This window comes from Homo sapiens, chromosome 3 (assembly GCF_000001405.40).
Source record: "Homo sapiens chromosome 3, GRCh38.p14 Primary Assembly".
Lineage (NCBI taxonomy): Eukaryota > Metazoa > Chordata > Mammalia > Primates > Hominidae > Homo > Homo sapiens.
Window position 1 is genome coordinate 15597034 of NC_000003.12, and position 20910 is coordinate 15617943.

Below are 20910 nucleotides of genomic sequence, written 5' to 3' on the forward strand. Positions count from 1 at the left end.
ATTCTATTCAAAATATTTTCTACTTTCCATTGTGATTTCTTCTTCAACCCATTGGTTAATTAGGATCTGTAGTGATACCTCCTTTTTCATTCCTGACATTGGTAATCTGTTTTCTCTTTTATTCTCAATCAGTCTATCTTGAAGTTTATTCATTTTGTTAATCTTTTCAAATATTTACAAAATACCAAAAAGTATGTTGCTTAATTTCCAAAGGTCTGAGATTCTTTTTAGTGATCTCTTATTGAGTTCCACTTTACTTCCACATGGTCAGGTGACATATACTGCACGCTTTCAATCCTTGGCGATTTATTGAGATTTCCTTTATGGCCTGCATATGGATAGTTTTTACCTTGTAACTCTACTTCAGCTCATAATCAGGAAGAGAGGGGGCACTAAATTAAATGCACACAAGATAACCTGGGAAAATGCTGAGTGCTCTCTCAAATTCTTCTTAGTCTGGGACATCATTTTTTTCCCAGTATTATTTCTTCTCATTTCTTTAGAAATAATAATGAATTGCGTATTTCCTAGCCTTCATTCAGCTTTAAATGAAGTAGTATACTGTCTTAAAGAACTCCACATTAACGACATAAATGTGGAAAAAAAAAAAAAGGAAATGTTTATGGATCATAATCTTAACTGGCTCTACTATCATACACCCACTGAGAACCTGCACAAAGACTCTGCTCTTTTCCTGTGTCGCTATTCTCTACTGGCCCCATCTCTCTTTCCTTTTGCACATAAGGCCAAATTCACATTAGGAGAATAAGACAACTCCTAAGAAATGCAGGCATGTAAATACCTGCTGCAATAAGAACACTTTATTTAGACACCCAAAAGAATTGCCCACTTATGATAGCTAGGTAAGAAATGTTGCTAGGCAATGCAAAATATACAACAACACGTAACAAAAAGTATATTCCTCTGGTAGGAAATGTCAAAAGTTGAGAGGTAACTGTTTTGTTTTGTTTTATTTTGTTTTGTTTTGTTTTTTTTTTTTGAGACAGAGTTTCGGAGTTTCGCTCTTGTTGCCCAGGCTGGAGTGCAATGATGCAATATTGGCTCACGGCAACCTCCACCTCCCAGGTTCAAGCAATTCTCCTGCCTCAGCTTCCCGAGCAGCTGGCATTACAAACATGCACCACCACGCCTGGCTAATTTTATATTTTTAGAAACGGGGTTTCTCCATGTTGGTCAGGCTGGTCTCAAACTCCTGACCTCAGGTGATCTGCCTGCCTCAGCCTCCCAAAGTGCTGGGATTACAGGCGTGAGCCACCGCGCCTGGCCATAACTGGTTTTATGACCATAAAAGATCTGTTCCTCTACTAAACTACCTCCATTCACAGGCAGAACAGTGTACATGGTACTTAGAGAGTGGACTCTCGAGCCAATCTGTTTTGATTTAAATCCCAGCTTCCCCACTTTCTACTGTGTAATTTTGGCAAGTTGCTCTAAATCTCTGTTTCTTCATCTATAAAATGAAAATAATTCAAAGCACTGCTGTGAGGATGAAATCAGTTCGTATGTGTAAAACACTCAAAATAGTGCCCACACACAGTAAGCTCTCAAGAACAATGAACTTGCTGACAATCTGCCTACTTGCTGGCCAATTGGTCAGTATGTCTTGATTACTCTATGGATCTAATCAAAGACAATGAAGTCACACCCAACTACATCTTTCTCTTTATCACAAACATGTCCTGAATGCCTTAGCCTGTTTTCATGTTCCCTCTGAATCATTCTGTCACTACCCTTAGTTCAGGTACCATTTAAGTCTTCCTTTGACTACCATAGAGTCAGGATGCTTGAGGGACATATGCACTGGGATGTTCCACCAACATCTCAAATGCATGTGTTCAAAATTGAACATCACCTTTCTCCTCCAAGCTGGCTCTTCCCTCTATATTCCCAGTCTCAGTCACAGACAATATGATCTACACAATCAATCAAGTAAGCCCAAAATCTAGGAATCATCTCCAGAGGAGCCTGCCTCCTCTTTCCTAACTGGTTAATGCCTGCTTATCCTTCAGGACAGCTCAGACATCATCTCCTGTGGGAAGCTGAGCCTGGGTACTCCTTCTCTGGGCTTTATAGCACCCTGGATATCTCTCTATCACAGCACTTACCACCTTATAATACAATTGTCTGTGTCTGTCTCCACAGCTTGGCTGTAAGCCCCTTAAAGCCAGGAACTATCATTCATCTCTGTATCCAGCACCCAACACAGCACATGGGACCTAAAGAACCCTCAACTAAGCTTATAGGGGCTGAAATAAAACTTAGAGACAGAGGTCGTGCTATGTTGCCCAGGCAGCCTCTAATTCCTGGACTTGAGTAATCCTCCTGCCTCAGCCCCCTTCGTAGCTGGGATTACTGGCATGTACAACCATGCCTCGCATCATCTTTCTGAAGTACAAATCTAATTACATCGCCCACCTGTTTAGAAAAACCTTTAGTCTCCCCCATTGCCTACTGTTAAAAAAAAAAAAAAATTCAAACTCTTTTTAGATTTCCCACAACCTCCCCTCAACCTACCTACCAGTCTCACAGCTCACCATGCCTTTACCTACCTTGAGGGAACCACATGAACTAACATTACCTCTACAGGCAATCTTCTCTGTCCTCAAAGAGAACCAGTCACCCCTTCTGTGCTACTACATCTATTGTGAGAGTTATAATAGATGAGTCTTTTTCTGTAAGTCTTACCCTCACCTTCCAGGACTGATCAACGTGAAGATCAAGACTAAACCTCACTCCTTCTTTACATCCCTCTCTCCTACAGGTTATGTAGCACAATCCTTAGTATACAGTACTTAGTCAATAAATGTTTGCTGTATGAAGAAATCAGTGGCAGATATGTCATCTCTACAAAAACAGTTAAGTATAGGTTCCATTCATAGGTCAATAGCTTCATTTTTTCACACAGATGAAAGAACAGAATGTTGTTCTAACAAAGACAAGTAAAATGTAGAAGCAACAGAAACTCAAAACCTCCTAGTTTTAAGATTAAAAAATACAAATCTCAAACCTTGTAGATAAAGAATGTCATTCAATAAAGAATGTCATTCAATAAAGAATGTCATTCAATTAATAAATAATGTATAATATTAAGCATCTACACCACGTGAAAGCACAAACCAAGCCAGGCACTGTGGTGATATAACAAATGAATCACAACTTCTGCCCTCCAGGCACTCATGTATGATGGCAAAAGGCACCACTTAGGGTGGCCAGGCAGTTGTTTGGGCAAGAGGAGGCAAGAATTTAAATTAGAAGGCAACGGTGGGAGTGTAAAGCAGGAATATTTAGCCTCAGCTGGACTGAGAGTATGTGATATCACAGAAGTGGATTCTTGACCTTTCAAGCCCGCACTACTGAGAGAAGAGCAAGGTGGATTGGCAGAGGATGCACTTAAAGTGGATTGACAAAACGTCGTATCTTCCTTATCCTGCTTCCAAATAAGCCTCTAAGAAAGGTGGCAGCATGATGTGGTGGAAAAAGCATCAGGCTAGGATCTGAGCCATCTGAGTTTCCATCAAGGCACTACCATTTGTGATATCCTCCACCCTGCCCCGAACCAATCATACAACAAAGCCTTGGCCTTCACTCATTTATCCCACAGGTAATCTCTGAACACCTTTCTTATGCAGGCACCACACTAAGCACTGGGGGTACAGATGTGTCGTGAAGAAATAATATCCCTGCTCTAATGGAGCTTGTAGCCTAATAGGGAAGTCAGACTTTACTCATAAACTGTCCATTCCAATCATGACATACAGTATAGTAGTAAGAGAATGGACTCAGACCCAGAATACGTGGGTTCAAACCCTGGCTCTGCTACTACCAGCTGTGTCACCAAAGGCAAGTTTTACTTAACCTGTGTCTTTTCTCATCTGTCAACTTGGTGTAACAACAGTTAATATTCAACAGTGATTGATATGATATATGTAAAGTAGCAGAAGAGTGGTAAGCGCTATCTGGGTGTTTGCAATGCATACCTACCGCTATTACTGATCATTCCCAGTAACGCATTCAGCCACCTGAGTCCATACTCACCGCTTGCTCATTCCTCATCCCGATGTACTTGATGCCTAGCTGCTGGGCAGCAATGGCGATTTCGGTCACTGGGATGCCTACGATGCCAAATATGTACTCCACATCCTGAGGAACGAAGAACAGGGGAGTAAACTCCCAAGGCCCCACCATATCGCCACATCCTTCCCTCCCTCCCGGGCGCTAAAAGGAAAACCCCCCGACCCCCATCGCCCATTTCTACTCGTCTCCAAGACAACATCGCGGTCCCCGCCAGCTTCCGTAGGAGCCTTTCATTCCAGGAAGGTCCATCGTACTTGCGTTTTCAGGGCCTGAGCGATGACTTTAGCACCAGACACCTGCTCCTCGCTGCGCTCTGCGAAGTTACTGTCCGGCATCTTCCACCGAAAAGCTCTAAGCACTCACGCAGCCGGCAAACAAGCGGAATCATCCAGCAAGGCAAACGCGAAATCGGCAGCACGCCACCTCTGGTACTGCACCTCTGACGGACAGGAGGGCAACCAACTGCCTTAAACAACGGGAAGGAAGAGGCGGTCTAAATTCGTCCACTTCCCGGGAGAGGTGAGAATGTAAACACGCGCGTTCTCCAATCAGAACTGCGCTCTCTTCTCGGCTCCTCCATTCGCGCGCCAGAATGCCAGAGGGAGGCGGGACTAGCAGGAGATTGCTGCCTATGCAAAGCAGGTAAGAAGCCGAACTCTGAGGCCTCTCGCCATTGTCTCCGAGTCGGCCAGCTGGAGCGTTTTCGGGGCTGTAAAGGGAGAATGGCGCATGCGCATATTCAGGGCGGAAGGCGCGCTAAGAGCAGGTACGGAGGGGGCGTGGTGCGGCGCGGAGGGGGTGTGGTAAGGGCGTGCGGTCCAGACCCCGCCCCGGGCGCCCAGTTGGACTTGGGGAGGGCTGCGCAAAGGCTGCCGGGAGCTGGGAAGCCCGGCGCGCGTCGTTTGCTGGGGCTGTTTGTGCGTTGCTGCTGTGCTACCGCGTTGCGTTTTCTAGGCATTTACTTACACGCTTTGTGGTTTACGCTCTCATAACCTTGTGGTTTTATAGTCCTTAAATTATTGTAGCGCACGTTACTTAAATCCAGAAGCAGATGTGTACCCCAGCAAGAGATAAAATGACGCTCAGAGTCAGTAGATCCAGACCGTGCCTGAGATCCTGAATCCTGTTTCCTACCCACTATTCAGCCATTGGGTCACAAGCGATGAAAAGAGCACCTTGAAGGTAGTATAGAGCACTGTTTTCTCCAGCCCTTGCTACTAATCCATATTACTCTCCGCTAATATCTTTCCAAAATTAGGAACTATGGCGTTTCATAATTCTTAGGTTGGGTCCCTACCTACAACCAGCCCTGCACCCGATAGCCTTTTAAAACATTTTTGTGTGAAAATCGTTTGCAATGTGCAATATCTGAAACTACTGCCTTGGAGTCATTAGACCCTCTGCTCAGTGACAATAAACATAAAATTTCCAATTGTAATAAACAGTGGAACTTTTAATTTTTTGAGGATTTGGAGTCATTTTAAGCAAAAAGAACAGTGATAAGTGGACAGTAAAGAGATGAGAGGGGAGTGGGTCATGGGTAGTGAAATGAGTGAGAAGCACTGGAAGTGAAACGATTTCTAAACCCAGACATTTTCAAACTGTAGTCCTGGGTCTTTTCAAAAGGTCTTCCCCTCTTTTTCTCAACCCCTCAACCCCACCCCAAGCAGAGGAGAGTGAAGTGGTTGCCTCCCTGCATATGTGGACGGTGTTAGTCCATTTTCATACTGCTATAAAGAAATACCCAAAACTGGGTAATTTATAAAGAAAAAGAGGTTTAATGGTCTCACAGTTCCAAATGGCTACGGAGGCCTCACAATCATGGCAGAAGGTGAAGGAGGAGCAAAGGCATGTCTTACATGGTGGCAGGCAAGAGAGCGTGTGCAGGGGAACTGCCCTTTATAAAACCATCAGATCTCATGAGACTTACTATCATTAGAACAGCATGGGAAAAATCCCCTCCCCATGATTCAGTTACTTCCCACTGGGTCCCTCTCACCACATGTGGGGATTATGGGAGCTATAATTCAAGATGAGATTTGGATGAGGACACAGCCAAACTGTTCTGCCCCTGGCCCCTCCCAAATATCATATCCTCACATTTCAAAACCAATCATGCCTTCCCAACAGTCCCCCAAAGTCTTAACTCATTTCAGCATTAACTCGAAAGTCCACAGTCCAGAGTTTCATCTGAGACAAGGCAAGTCCCTTCCGCCTATGAGCCTGTAAAATCAAAAGCAAGCTAGTGGCTGGGCGCAGTGGCTCACACCTGTAATCCCAGCACTTTGGGAGGCCGAGGCGGGCGGATCATGAGGTCAAGAGATGGAGACCATCCTGGTCAACACGGTGAAACCCTATCTCTACTAAAAATACAAAAAATTAGGCGGGCATGGTGGCAGGCGCCTGTAATCCCAGCTACTCAGGAGGCTGAGGCAGGAGAATGGTGTGAACCCGGGAGGCAGAGCTTGCAGTGAGCTGAGATTGGGCCACTGCACTCCAGCCTGGGGGACAGATCGAGACTCCGTCTCAAAAAAAATAATAAAATTAAATTTAAAAATAAATAAATAAAAGCAAGATAGTTACTTCCTAGATACAATGGGTGCACGGGAGTGAGGTAAATATACCCGTTCCAAATGGGAGAAATTGGTCAAGACAAAGGGGCTAAAGCCCCCATGCAAGTTCAAAATCTGGCAGGGCAGTCAAATATTAAAGCTCCAAAATGATCTTTGGATCATTTTGACTTCGTATCTCACAGCCAGATCATGCTGATGCAAGAGGTGGGCTCCCACAGCCTTGGGCAGCTCTGCCCTTGTGGTTTTACAGGCTACAACCCCCTCTCCCAGCTGCTTTCACAGGCTAATATTGAGTGTGTGCAGCTTTTCTAGGCACATGGTGCAAGTGGTCAGTAGATCTACCATTCTGGGGTCTGGAGGACGGTGGCCCTCTTCTCACAGTTCCACCAGCAGTGCCCCAGGAGGGACTCTGTATGGGGGCTCCCACCCCACATTTCCCTTCCACACTGCCCTAGCAGAGGTTCTCTATGAGGGCTCTACCCCTGCAACAAGCTTCTGCCTGGACATCCAGGCATTTCCATACATCCTCTGAAATCTAGGCAGAGGTTCCCAAACCTCAATTTTTGACTTCTGTGCACCTGCAGGCTCAACACCATGTGGAAGCTGCCAAGGCTTCAGGCTTGCACTGTCTGAAGCCAGGCCTGAGCTGTACATTGGCCCTTTTTAGCCATGGCTGGCATGGCTGGGATGCAGGACACCAAGTCCCTAGGCTGCAAACAGCAGGGGGACCCTGGACCTGACCCATGAAACCATTTTTCCTCCTAGGTTTCTGGGCCTGTGATGGGAGGGCCTGTTGTGAAGGTCTCTGACATGCCCTGGAGACATTTTCCCCATTGTCTTGGTGATTAATAGTTAGCTTCTTATTACCTATGCAAATTTCTGCTGCCAGCTTGAATTTCTCCCTAGAAAATGGGTTTTTATTTTCTACTGCATCGTCAGTCTGCAGATTTTTCAAATTTGTATGCTCTGCTTCCTCTGGAACACTTTGCCATTTAGAAATTTCTTCTGCCAGATACCCTAAATCATCTCTCTCAAGTTCAAAGTTCCACAGATCTCTAGGACAGGGGCAAAATGCCACTAGTCTCTTTGCATAGCAAGAGTGACCTTTACTCCAACTCTGAATAAGTTCCTCATCTCCATCAGAAACCACTTCAGCCTGAATTTTATTGTCCATATCACTATCAGCATTTTGGTCAAAGCCATTCAATAAGTCTCTAGGAGGTTCCAAACTTTCCCACATTTTCCTGTCTTCTGAGCCCTCCAAGTCTCTAGGAAGTTCCAGACTTTCCCACATTTTCCTATCTTCTTCTGAGCCCTCCAAACTGTTCCAACTTCTGCCAGTTACCCAGTTCCAAAGTTATTTCCACAGTTTCGGCTGTCTTTACAGTAGTGCCCCACTCTCTGCATTACCAATTTTCTGTGTTAGTCCCTTTTCATACTGCTATGAAGAAATACTCAAAACTGGGTAATTTATAAAGAAAAAGAGGTTTAATAGATTCACAGTTCCACATGGCTGGAGAGACGTCACAATCATGGTGGAAGATGAAGGAGGAGCAAAGGCACGTCTTACATGGCGACAGGCAAGAGAGTGTGTGCAGGGAAACTCCCATTTATAAAACCATCACAGCTTGAGACTTATTTGCTATCACAAGAACAGCATGGGAAAAACCCTCCCCAATGATTCAGTTACCTCCCACCAGGTACCGCTCATGATATGTAGGGATTATGGGAGCTATAATTCAAGATGAGATTTGAGTGGGGACATAACCAAACCATATCAGGGACCCATCTCAGAGGGTGACTTCTTTCAAGTCTCAGAGTGTATCTAAAAAGAAAATGCAGATTTTGTATTATACTCTAGAATGTATCCATATTTTAATTTTAAAATGACATTTATTGAGATATAATAAAGATACAATTCAATGTCCAGATTTTAAATGTTAGATGAGTTTTGACAGTTATATATATATATATCTATGAAATCACCACCCAAAATAAAAATGACATTTTAAACTGCTTACCTGTCAAGTAAAATTGACATTCCAGAAAGATGTGAAACGGGCTGGGCACAATGGCTCATGCCTGTAATCCCAGCACTTTGGGAGGCCGAGGTGGGCAGATCATCTGAGGTCAGGAGTTCGAGGCCAGCCTGGCCAATGTGGTGAAACCCCATCTCTGCTAAAATACAAAAATTATCCAGGTGTGGTGGCACATGCCTGTAATCCCAGCTATTCGGGAGACTGAGGTGGGAGAATCGTGTGAGCCAGGGAGGTAGATGTTGCAGTAAACCAAGATTGCACCACTGTACTCTAGCCTGGGTGACAGAGCGAGACCCTGTCTCAAAAAAAAAAAAAAAAAAAAAAAAGATGTGAAATCATCTTTGCACTTTGAGTAGTCCTTGACACAATGCCTCCTGTCCTTGTTGAAGAAGTACAGACTTCCCCTTCCATCATGTATTATTTATATCAGTACCTTTTGTGACAGTCTCTGCCCCTGTTGCATTAGAGTCACTTGGAAAGCTTTTTCCAAATAGTTACTTGGGCCCTACCCCAGATCTCCTGAATCAGCATCTTAGGACAAGTCAGGCACCTGTATTTTTTAAAAGCTGCTACCTGATTTTGCTTTGCAGCCCAGAGTTGAGAACCCTAGCTCTGTTTTCATGCCAGAAGCATGAGTTACTAATTAAACATATGATTGCCTGTCACCAAAGTAATACTGTTGATTAATTTGGATTGACAGGTTCAAGACTGATTTGACATTGACAGAACAAGCTGTATCGATGGTAGTCAGTTCACTGGGCCTACTTCTGTGTCAAAAGAAACAGTGACAGAACCACTCAGTATGAAGTGCAATGAAAACTGAACTCTGAATTGGAACAAATAACTGGAATTCAGTTAACTGGTTTTGCAAAAGGATAAATACTCAACTGGTTGTTTTCTGCCATTTAACAAAGAGAAAAATCATTGGGATTGTTTAAACTTGCTTTCACCTTTGCACCTTTCAGTTCAGGATGCAGTGTTCAATTGTTAACTTGGGCTTGATGATTCAGCAGAAAGAAATGATTTGAGTTCTGGCTCACTGGATTAACAGGGCCAAGGAGCAAGTCCTTTGCAATCCAATTGTAATTACAGCCAGCTTGTCCAACCCTTGGCCCAGGATGGCTTTGAATGCGGCCCAACACAAATTCATAAACTTTCTTAAAACATTATGAGATTTATGCACCGACCCTTTTTTTTGTTGTTGTTTTTGGTTTTTTTTTTTTTTTTTAGCTCATCAGCTATCATTTGTGTTAGTGTATTTTATGTATGGCCCAAGACAATTCTTCTTTTTCCAGTGTGGCCCAGGGAAGCCAAAAGATTGGATACCCCTGACAGGATTCCAGGATTCTTTTGTAATTTCTCAGAGGCCCTCTGTGCATACTCCGTAAGGACTATCCACATTCTTTATTACTTTCATTGGCAATAGGTATAAAATTTTATTTGTTGGATATTTTACTGAAATGTTACTTGTTTTTGCTTATTTACTGATTGGTGGGAGGAAGTCAAAGGATGAATAAATCTAACCTTTTTAAAAGAAAAGGCTAAAATACTCATAACATGCTCTCCAAAGAGCAGAGCTAGTCATCAAAGAATCTGCATACCAATTACTCTATTTGTAGGTTCTGGATTTGAGATTATGAAAAAGAGCAAATTGGTGGTTTTCTTCTCTCTGGGCCAGGGAGATATCCAGGCAACCAGGTAATTTAGTAAGAATTGCAAATATAGTGCCTGGAGACAATTTATTCTCTAAAGACTGCAGCTTCTACAGGCAGTAACTCTTAAAGCCCCCAAATTGGGATAGTGCATTTTAATTTCCGTATACTAACAAGGACACTAAAAATCCTTGTGATTATTTTAAAGCATAACACTAGCTGAACTTGTGATTAAGTATTCTCACAAATGTATTATCAAAATGTGAAATGTTTACTTATCAAATGAGGAAATGAATCAAGGTCATTTGTGATACATTATAGAAGCTAAAAATGAAATTGCCTGACATAAGATAAAACTGATACTGAATATCTTAAAAATAAAAAGGCGGAAACAACAAAAAAAGGAGTCTATGTAGAACACTATTTTTTATAGCAATGCAAAAACTGTACAGCCGGAAATGTGTTGTAGGAAATATGTCAACATAGGAAGTAAAATAATGTAATGAAAAGGTTCTTTGAATAAAGTGGGTTAAATTGATTTTCTTTGCTTCTCATTAAATCTGTGGACTTCAGAGTACCAAAGCTCAGCAACAGGCTTGAAACAAACCCAGTGAAAAGCAACTTTATTATTGAGCTGAGGATTGATATCAGTAATAACTCATTAATAAAAAAGCTTGATAATAAAAACTCCCAGTGCCTGATGCCAGCTGACAGACACTGGGAGTTTTCCCAGGTACCCTGTGACCTAGAGAAAGCTTGGATTCCTGCCTTTGGCTTGGGCTGGCAAGCCCTGTGCCTTTACTCTACATTTTAATGCCAGGGAGACCTGGAACTGGAGAAGGGAGTGCTGTGGGAAGAAAACAGAAGGAATGTTGTTCCCTTGTTTTAGCTTTGTGTTCATCCATTATGGGTTTTGGGTTTTTTTGTTTTTTGTGTTTTTTTAAGAACATTTGAGATAGTTTGACAGCAGCAGTCATTACATCACTGACGAGGACGTTTACTTGTGTAAAATGCACCAGGAAATAGTGACAACTGTATGTTGTGCTATGAGGATGTAAGAGATTTATCTCAAATGGCTTAGAAATCAAAATATAGGTCAGTGCGGTGGCTCACACCTGTAATCCCAACACTTTGGGAGGCCAAGGCAGGCGGATCACGAGGTCAGTAGATTGACACCATCCTGGCCAACATGGTGAAACCCCGTCTCTACTAAAAATACAAAAATTAGCTGGGCATGGTGATGTGCGCCTGTAATCCCAGCTACCGGGGAGGCTGAGGCAGGAGAACCACTTGAACCCAGGAGTTGGAGGTTGCAGTGAGCCGAGATTGCGCCCCTGCACTCCAGCCTGGCGACAGAGCGAGACTCCGTCTCAAAAAAAAAAAAAAAAAGAAATCATAGTATTTCTCCGTATGATGGAATTCCATACTCGGGGGAGTGTCCCACAGGGTAGGCAAGCAGCTATCACCCATGTAATATGGTACTAGTGTTGAAATATTTTCTGTTTTCACTTGCTTCTTCTGCCATTAGCATTCATTACAGCCCTTTCCTTTAACTTTTTAATTTGTACTTTATTGCTTTGTTTTGATAATAATCTATTCTCCATGTCAGCAAAACAAAGATTTATCTCTAGGGAAGAATCTCTGAGTGATTCCCAGGGTTTGGGGGTTGAACTGGGGACATCTTCATGATGAACTTAAGCCCTTAAACTTCTTTTTACATCATAACGTTTGAGTTCTTCTTTGGAGCTTAGCTGTGATTTATTCTTTTCACTTCAAAAAAAATACATTTAACATTTATGACATCTTTCAGACACATGAATAGGATCAGAGATTAATATACACCCATGTACCCAGCCCCTGGCTTAAGAAATACATCACAAATATAATGAAACCCCCGTGTGTCCTTTCCCCATTACACCTCCTTTCCTGTCCTACAGAGGTAACCACTATCTTGAATTTGGTGTTTGTAGTTCCCACATTATCCATTCTTTAGATGATCGATATTTGGTCATTTTTAGTTTTTTTGGAAACAGTGTGCTCTGAAATTCTTGCATGTTTCCTTCTTGTGCACATGTGTGAGAGTTTCTACATATATATCAAGGTGGAGGTCATCATCATTTGATCTCCAAAGTATTGTACCAATTTATACTCCCAACATTTGTGTATGAGAGCTACCCTTTCTCCATAGTCTCAACTGTGGAGCTTTAAAAATTTTTAAATGTGAAATGGCTTCTCAGTTCCATTTCTCTGACTACAAATGAGGTTAAGTTATATTTGTATATATATATTGGCCATGCGTGTTTCTTTTTCTGTGAATTACGTGTTTACATCTGTTGCACATTTCCTTATTGGATTATCTTTTGCTTTTTGATTTGTAGATGTCCTTTATGTATTCTGAATGCTAATTATTTGTCTTTTAACTTTGTTAATAGTGATTTTAGAGGTATAAAGGGTTTTTTTATAGTCACATTTGACAACTGGTCTTCCTTATTTTTTTTTTAATTTTTTTATTTTTTTGGTAACTTGCTAAAGAAAACTTTTTGTAACCTGAGGTTATGAAGATTTTTTTCTATATCAAAAAGTGTAAAGTTTTATTTTTCATATTTAAGTCACTACCTGGAATTGATTTTTGTTTGTTGAGAAGTAAGAATCCATATAATATGTCAATTAGATTTGCTGTGTAATTAACCACCCCAAAACTTAGTGGCTTAAAAGAACCACCATTTATTTAACATATATTCCTATGAGGCTGGTCTCAACTGGGCTCACCCATGTATCTGTTAGTCAGTTGCCAGTGAACTGAGTCACTCAGCCCCTGGAGGTTAGCTGGTTGTCCACTGGGATAGCGGGCATATTGCCAGTGAGCCACATAGCTCTACCACTCAGCAGGCTAGCTGGACTTCTTCATTGGATGGCAGCAGGTTGCAAAAGGGAATGAGCCTCATTGTGCAAGCCTCTATGTGCGGTGTTTGCTAACATCTCATTAGCCAAAGCAAGTTATGTGGCTGGGCTCAGACTCTAAGTTAAAGGCATTCGAGTTACATGATAATGGAACATGGATACAGAGAGGGGAGAAATTGCTGGCCTTTTTTATAGTCAATTTACCATAACATCCAGTTGTCCAAGCACCATTCATAATATAGTTCATTCTCATCCCAGTGATACATAATTTCCCCTCTGTGGAATGTCAAGCTCGCATATTTATGGGAGTATTTCTGTACTCTCTGTTCTTTTCCTATCCTAACACCAATCCCACACTATCTTAATTTCTGTGTTTTTAAAATAAGTCTTGATGTTGGTAGGACAAGTAGTCCCTGGACTTCATTCTTTTGAAGCCATCTTGTTTATTATATTAATTTTAAGCAACTAGAGGGGATGGAAGAGGAACCTTTAGATTAAAAGAGATTTAAAAGATAGGGTATTTTTTAATGGACAAGACTAAACTACAGTGTCTAGGGATGCACATTGGGTGATAAAGCTATTTTAAAAAACAAAGAAGTGATGAGTATAAAAGTCAGGGTCATGGTTACTTGATCCCTCATGGGTAATGTTGTCAGATTTAGAAAAAAAAAAAAAAACAGGACTCCAAAACTCCCAGTTGAATTTGAACTTTAGATGAACAATGCATAATTTTTTTTAGCGTAAGTATGTTCCAACATATTTATCTGAAAGTTAAATTTAACTGGGCCACCTGTATTTTACCTGGAAAAATCCTGATTTTATTCAAGGTGATAATGCAGTTTACATTGCCCAGCCTTCCTTGTAGCTAGGAGTGGTCACGCGTCCACACATGGGCCAAAGCAATTTAAATAGGAGTCACTGGGCAGGGCTTTTAGGAAAGCTGATGAAACTGGCAAGTACCCTCTGTACTCTTCCTCTGTACAACATGATAATTGGAGTTGTAGAAGTCATTTTGGAACCACAAGATGACTCTGAAAATGGAAGCTACATGCCAAGAAGTTAGGCCCAGAAAGAGAGGGATCCTGGGTCCTACATGACTCTTGCCTTTGTCAGGTTTTATTATCAGATTTTTATCACTTCATAAGAAAAAAATGCCTTCTTTTACTATATTCTCACACACATTGAGTAGCATTAGGATTATTTTTTCCTTTATAGTTAGAAAGAATTCTTCTAGAAACTATTTGGGCCTGTTTTGAGGGTGGAGAATGGGAGGGAATGATTGTTTGATAACTATTTCTTCTATGATTGTTGGCATGGTTTAGTTTTTTCTTTTATCCGAAGTTTTGGTAAAAATATATTTTTCAGTCCCAGCTACTCTGGAGGCTGAGGCACAAGGATTGCTTGAATCCAGGAGGCAGAGGTTGCAATGAGCTGAGATTGCACCACTGCACTCCAACCTGGGTGATGGCGTGAGACAGTCTCAAAAAAAAAAAAGAAAAAACAAATAATGTATTTTTTTTCTAGGAAACTACTCGTCTAAATTTTCTAGCTTATCAATATAGGATTGAATGAGGTGATTATTCTTTTTTAAAAAAAATTCTTCTGCATTTATAGATTTCTCTTTGTTTTGTATATTTGTTTCTCTTTTTTTTCTTAATTAGGCTAGCCGATCATTTGTCTTTACCTTTTTTTTTCTCTAAACAACAACTCCTTGGACATACTTATTCATTCTGTCATTTTTCTGTTTTCTAATTTAATTTCCACTCTTATTTTTATTTCCTTCCTTTTGCTTTCTTGAGCATGCCATTACTCTTTTCCTCACTGTTACCACCTTTTGTTAGTTTTACAATTTCTACATTGCCAGAGTTAATAACATTTGCACTGTGTTCTATAAATATAATCCTCATGTTTATTTTACATTCAAGGCTCTTGCCAGTTTTTCCATTCACCTCTTAATTGGCCGAAGATTACCCTCTATGCATTTTTTCAAAGAAGGCTGATGAGACTGATGAGAATAATAGTCCCTGAGTTCTTATATTTTCATACCTATTATCTGGTTTTTTTCTTTACTTCAACCATAGGTTGGCATAATATATAATTTCTGGCTTATATTTTATTTTCTGGAAGGATTCTATAGGCTTTTACTGGCATTGATGTTATTGTAGTAAAGTCTGAGGACAGCCTGATTATTTTGCCCCTAATAAATACCCTTGATCTTTTTATTTAGCTTCCCAAATGATTCTTACTTTATCTTTGAAGATCAAGAATTTTGCTAGGCTATCTGCCGATGTTGATGTTCTGTTCCTTTCTTTCTTGAGTTTTGCTATCTCTTTTCAAGCTATAAATTGAAATATGCTTTTATTTCTGGTGAGTTTTCTTCAATTACATCTTTAATTTTTTTTTTTTTTGCTTCATTATATGTTGTCTATTGTTGTATAAAAATTTACCCTACGACCTATTCAGCAGCTTAAAACAAGACCCATTTATTATCTCAAAGTCTCTATGTGTCAGGAGTCTGAGCATAGTTTTACTGGATCCTCTGGTCAGCATCTCACAAGGCTACAGTGAAGTTGTCAGCTGACCTCATGGTCTCATCTGAGGCTGAGTTTTCTTCCAAATTCAACTGATCGTTGAAAGAATGAATTTCCTTGCAGTTGTAGTATTCATGGTGGCTTGCTTCTTCAAGGTCAGCCGGGGAGAGAGTGTGTCTGAAATCTTGGAGCACCCCAGTTCTTTTTTTAAAGACCTGATTAATTCAGACCCACCAGGGTAATCTCTTTTGATTAACTAGATTAACTGGCTTGGGATTTTAACTACATATGTGAAAGCCCTTCACCTTTGTCATATTCTATTGGCTAGTAACAGAGTACAATTTCCACCTGCACTCAAGAAAAGAGGATTATACAAGGAGTCACCTTAGGGTGTGTCCACCACACATTATTTTTTTCTTTTATGCATTTTCCAATTATGCATATGATGGATCTCGTTCACTGTTCTCCCTGTCTATCATTTTCTGTGGACTCCTTTTCAATTCTGTATTTCCATTCATGTTGCTTATTTATTTACAGCATCATCTGATTTCTTTTGCTGCTTCTATCTTTGCCATAATTTCTTGATGTTTTAATTTTTTCTTCTGCTTCTTTCCTGAGCCCTGCCAGATAATATTTCATCTGTCTCCCAGCTTTCTATTCCCCACTCCCTTCTCCCTTCTCTCTTCTTCCCTCTTCCCCCTCCTTACCTTCTCCTCTTCTCCTCCTTTCCTCCCCTTCTCCCCTTTTTCCCTTTCATCTTTTAATTCTCTTGGTCTATTTTGTGCTTTTATTTAATATAAGCAGTTTTTTTTCACTCGTGGCAGAATGTTTTGTCACAGTTTTTATTTGTGTTGTGGCAATTTTCTGGGGTATAACCTTTGTTTTCGTATAGTATCTTTCAAAAGATCTTGAGCTTTTTATTTACTCATTTTTGAGTGAGTTTTTCCTCTACTGTAGGAGGTTTATGTGTGAACAAGGCCATTCTGGTTCACAGTTATTTTTTCTTAGCACATTTAAGATTTTGTTTTCTTACTTCTATTGTTACTCTTGAAAAGTCTGCTGTTTTCAAATCACCATATCTTTGAAGGCAATCTCTCTTCCCTCTGGTTGCGTCTAAGATTTTTTTCTTCTTCAAATATTTCGTGTTCTGGTTTCTTTATGTTGTGTATAGATTTCTTTTTGGTTGTCTTGAATCTATGGATTTCTGTATTTTATTATTAAAATTCTCACCTATTATACCTTCAAACATGTGTAATGTGTCATGTGTCATTTTATGTATTTTCTCCCTCTTTCTTTCTTTCTTTTTTTTTTTTTTTTAAGTCAAGGTCTTGCTCTGTCGCCCAAGCTGGAGTACAGTGGCACAGCCGTAGCCCACTGCAGCCTTAAACTCCTGGGCTCAAGCAATCCTACCACCTCAGCCTCTTGAGATGCTGGGACCGCAGGTGTACACCACCATGCCCAGCTAATACTTTTTTACTTTTTGTAGAGATTATATTGCCCAGGCTGGTCTTGAATTCCTGGCCTCAAGTGATCCTCTCATCTTGACCTCCAAAGTGTTGGGATTACAGGCATGAGCCATTGCACCCAGCCTCTATTTTCTCCTTCTGAAATTCCAATTAGAAATATCATGGAACATCATATATGTCTTCCATGTCTCATCTTCTTTTTTTCCCTTTTGTCATCTCTGTGGTACATTCTAAACAAATTTTTTAATGATTCTAACGGCCATGCCACAAAATGTCTCCATTTGGTTTTATTTGACAATATCTTTTTCTTTTTTTTTTTTTTTTTGACACAGAGTCTCTCTCTATTACCCAGGCTAGAGTGTAGTGGTGTGATCTTAGCTCACTGCCACCTCCGCCTCTGAGCTCAAGCAATCGCCCTACCTTAGCCACCCAAGTAGCTGGGACTACAGGCATGCACCACCACACACAGCTAATTTTTGTATTTTTTGTAGAGATGGGGTTTTGCCATGTTGCCCATGCTGGCCTCCAACTCCTGGGCTCAAGTTATCTTCCTGCCTTGGCCTTCCAAAGTGCTGGGATTACAGGCATGAGCCACCACTCCCAGCCAACAATATCTTATTCTTTTACCTGTTTTAGAGTCCTCTGAGTACTTCTTTAATCAACTTCAGTGTACTTATTTGAAAATTTTCACTAGTAATCCTTCCATCTGAAGTTGTTGGGGGCCTGATTTTGCTGTATTCTTTAACTTTCTTGCATAATATTTGCTTCCTTGTGTGTTTTGTAATTTTGAATTTTGAGCTCTTGTTTACCTTGTTCTTCAACCCAGGACACTCAGTCTTCAAGAAGAGAGTATGTGGATAGGCTTTTCCAGGCATCTTAGGACTGATAACATCTCAAAATCACTTTGTGCTCATTTCTTGGCATAGAGTTACCTGGGTCATGTATGTTGTGAGTTTTTGAATCATGAACCCACATAAGGAAAACCTTTGATTATGTTGGTTATGACTTTCAAGGAGTACTATTTTCCCCTGCTCAGAGCCCAAGATGAGATGTACAAGTTTCTACGTCAGATAGTTACTTTGGCAGGCAGGCAGATATTTGTTTTTGTCCATCCTTTCAATAAAGGAATCATTCCTTAAGGTTCCTAGCTATATGCACAGATCTCACTCCAACCTCCACATCTTGTCTTTCTGTCCTTCATGGTCTTTAAAATCTAAACCCCTTGGATATCAAGATTGGGACATGTTCCAGTATCACCTCACCACTCCAGTTTTCAGTTACTTGATTTTAGTTTTTATTTTTTAAATGCTTTTTTTAAAAGAGAAGTTTTATGCTCACAATAAAATTGAGCAGAAAGTACAGAAAGTTTACATATACTCCCTGTCCTGATACATGCATAGCCTTCCCTGTTATCAATATCCCAGACTAGAATGGTATGTTTGTTATAATCAGTGAACCTGCATTGACACATTATTATAACATGAAGTCCATAGTTTACATTAGGATTCACTTCTTTCTCCCTTAACACTTGGCAACCACTGATCATTTTACCATCTCTGCAATTTTGCTTTTTCCACCACTGGAAATGTTACATATTGGAATCATACAGTATGTAGCCTTTACAGATTGGTTTCTTTCCTTTAGTAATATACATCTAAGGTTCCTCCATATCTTTTCATGGCTTGATAGCTCATTTCTTTTTAGCACTGAATAATATTCCATTGTCTGAATGTATCACACTTTATTAATCCATTCACCTACTGAAGAATATCTTGATTGCTTCCAAGTTTTGGTAACTATGAAAAAAACTGCTATAAACACTCCTGTGCAGTTTTTTTGGAGACATAAGTTTTCTACTCCTTTGGGTAAATACAAAGAATACGATTGCTGAATCATATGATAAGAGTATGCTTCATTTTGTAAGAAAATGCCAAGCTGTCTTCCAAAGTGGTTGGATCATTTTGTGTTCCCATCAGCAATGAATCAGACTTCCTGTTGCTCTATATTCTCAACAGCATTTGGTCTTTTTAAAAATTGTTTTGGGCCGGGCGCGGTGGCTCACACCTGTAATCCCGGCAATTTTGGGAGGCCGAGGTGGGTGGATCACCTGAGGTCAGGAGTTTGAGACAAGCCTGACCAAAATAGAGAAACCCTGTCTCTACTAAAAATACAAAAATTAGCCGGTCGTGGTGGCAGGCGCCTGTAATCCCAGCTACTCGGGTGGCTGAGGCAGGAGAATTTCTTGAACCTGGGAGGTGGAGGTTGCAGTGAGCCAAGATCGCACCATTGTACTCCAGCATAGGGGACAAGAGCGAGACTTCATCTTCAAAAAAAAAAAGTTTTGTTTTTTTCCTTTCACCAAACTAAGCATTTAGTCTTGTCAGTGTTTTGGATTTTGACTATTCTAATAGGTGCATAGTGGTATCTAATTTTTAATTTGCAATTCCCTTGTGACATATGATGCTGAACATCTTTTCATAAGTTTATTGCTATTTGTGTATCTTCCTTGGTGAGATGTCTGTTCAGATCTTTTGCTTATTTTATTTTATTTATGTATTTTTTTTTCGAGTCTCACTCTGTCACCCAGGCTGGAGTGCAGTGGTGCAATCTCGGCTCACTGCAACCTCCGCCTCCTGGGTTAAAGCAATTCTCCTGCCTCAGCCTCCCGAGTAGCTGGGACTACAGGCACGAGCCACCACACCCAGCTAATTTTTTGTATTTTTAGTAGAGACGGGGGTTTCACTATGTTGGCTAGGATGGTCTTAACCTCTTGACCTCGTGATCTGCCTGCCTTGGCCTCCCAAAGTGCTGGGATTATAGGCATGAGCCACCATGCCCGGCCTTTTGCCTATTTTTTAATCAAGTTGTTTACTTTCTTATTGTTGAGTTTTAACAGTTCTTTGATATTTTGGATAACATTCCTTTATCTGATAAATCTTTTGCAAATATTTTCTCTCAGTCTGTAGCTTATCTTCTTCTGTTCTTGATAGTTTCATTTGCAGATCAAAAGTTTTACATTTAGTGAAGTGCAGTGTATCAATTCTTTCTTTTTTGTCCAACACAAGATCATCTAGCTATTCTCCTATGTTATCTTTTAAGAGTTTTATAGTTTTGTACTTTATATTTAGATCTATGATCTGTTTTGAGTTACTTCTTGTGAAGGGTATAAGATCTTTATCTAGATTTGTTTTTTACATGTGGGTGTCCATTTGTTCCAGCACCATTTGTTGAAAAGACTGTCTTTGCTCCATCACATTGCCTTTGCTCCTTTGTCAAAGATGAGTTAACTATAGCCTGGTGTGCAGTGGTACACACTTGTAGTCCCAGCTGCTCAGTAGAGTTCAATAGTTTTCTTTAGGAGGCTGAGGTAGAAGAATTGCTTGAGCCTAGGAATTTGAGTCCAGCCTAGGCAACATAGCGAGACCTCATTTGTAAAATAAATAAATAAATAAGACCAGTTGACTGTATTTATGTGGGTCTATTTCTGGATTCTCTATTCTGTTCCATCTATTTGTCTGTTCTTTGGCCAATTGATAAAATATCATGTTGTCTTGATTACTACAGTTTTATAATGTCTTGAAGTTGGTAGTGTGAGTTTTCTGACTTCATTCTTCTTCAATATTGTATTGGCCATTCTTGGTCTTTTACCTCTC

General features: G+C 40.5%; 2 protein-coding genes across 46 annotated transcripts in view, besides 2 other annotated features; one reads left to right on the top strand and one right to left on the bottom strand.

The window, feature by feature from the left end:
• HACL1 (2-hydroxyacyl-CoA lyase 1) overlaps nt 1–4536 on the bottom strand; it is a 40871-nt gene extending 36335 nt beyond the window's left edge. For all 5 annotated transcript variants that reach the window (NR_104315.2, NM_001284413.2, NM_001284416.2 and 2 more), the window contains exons 1-2: nt 4350–4536; nt 4057–4161 (exon numbers count right to left, since the gene is read on the bottom strand). Coding sequence is in view for 4 of the 5 variants with exons in the window: in NM_001284413.2 (NP_001271342.1) it covers nt 4057–4161; nt 4350–4430 (186 nt within the window). In the remaining variant the exon portion in view is untranslated. The remainder of the gene's footprint in view (nt 1–4056; nt 4162–4349) is intronic.
• The window catches only part of BTD (biotinidase), a 121156-nt gene continuing 104573 nt past the window's right edge, over nt 4328–20910 (top strand). For 13 of the 41 annotated variants that reach the window (NM_001370752.1, NM_001370753.1, NM_001407400.1 and 10 more), the window contains exon 1: nt 4712–4861. The gene's annotated coding sequence lies outside the window, so the exon portion shown is untranslated. Of the gene's footprint in view, nt 4615–4711; nt 4862–4969; nt 5278–9407; nt 10898–20910 lie in introns of those variants that run through there. The other 28 variants (NM_001407376.1, NM_001407375.1, NM_001407368.1 and 25 more) reach the window with 9 other exon arrangements.
• Nucleotides 4441–5083: an enhancer, noted in NCBI's record as "H3K27ac hESC enhancer chr3:15642981-15643623 (GRCh37/hg19 assembly coordinates)". NCBI's record gives its function as "activates a minimal SCP1, AML or CMV promoter by ChIP-STARR-seq in primed H9 embryonic stem cells {active_cell/tissue: H9 hESC(primed)}" and the evidence as "EXISTENCE:reporter gene assay evidence [ECO:0000049][PMID:30033119]".
• Nucleotides 4925–4984: a silencer, noted in NCBI's record as "silent region_14107". NCBI's record gives its function as "represses an Ori minimal core promoter by ATAC-STARR-seq in GM12878 lymphoblastoid cells {active_cell/tissue: GM12878}" and the evidence as "EXISTENCE:reporter gene assay evidence [ECO:0000049][PMID:35858748]".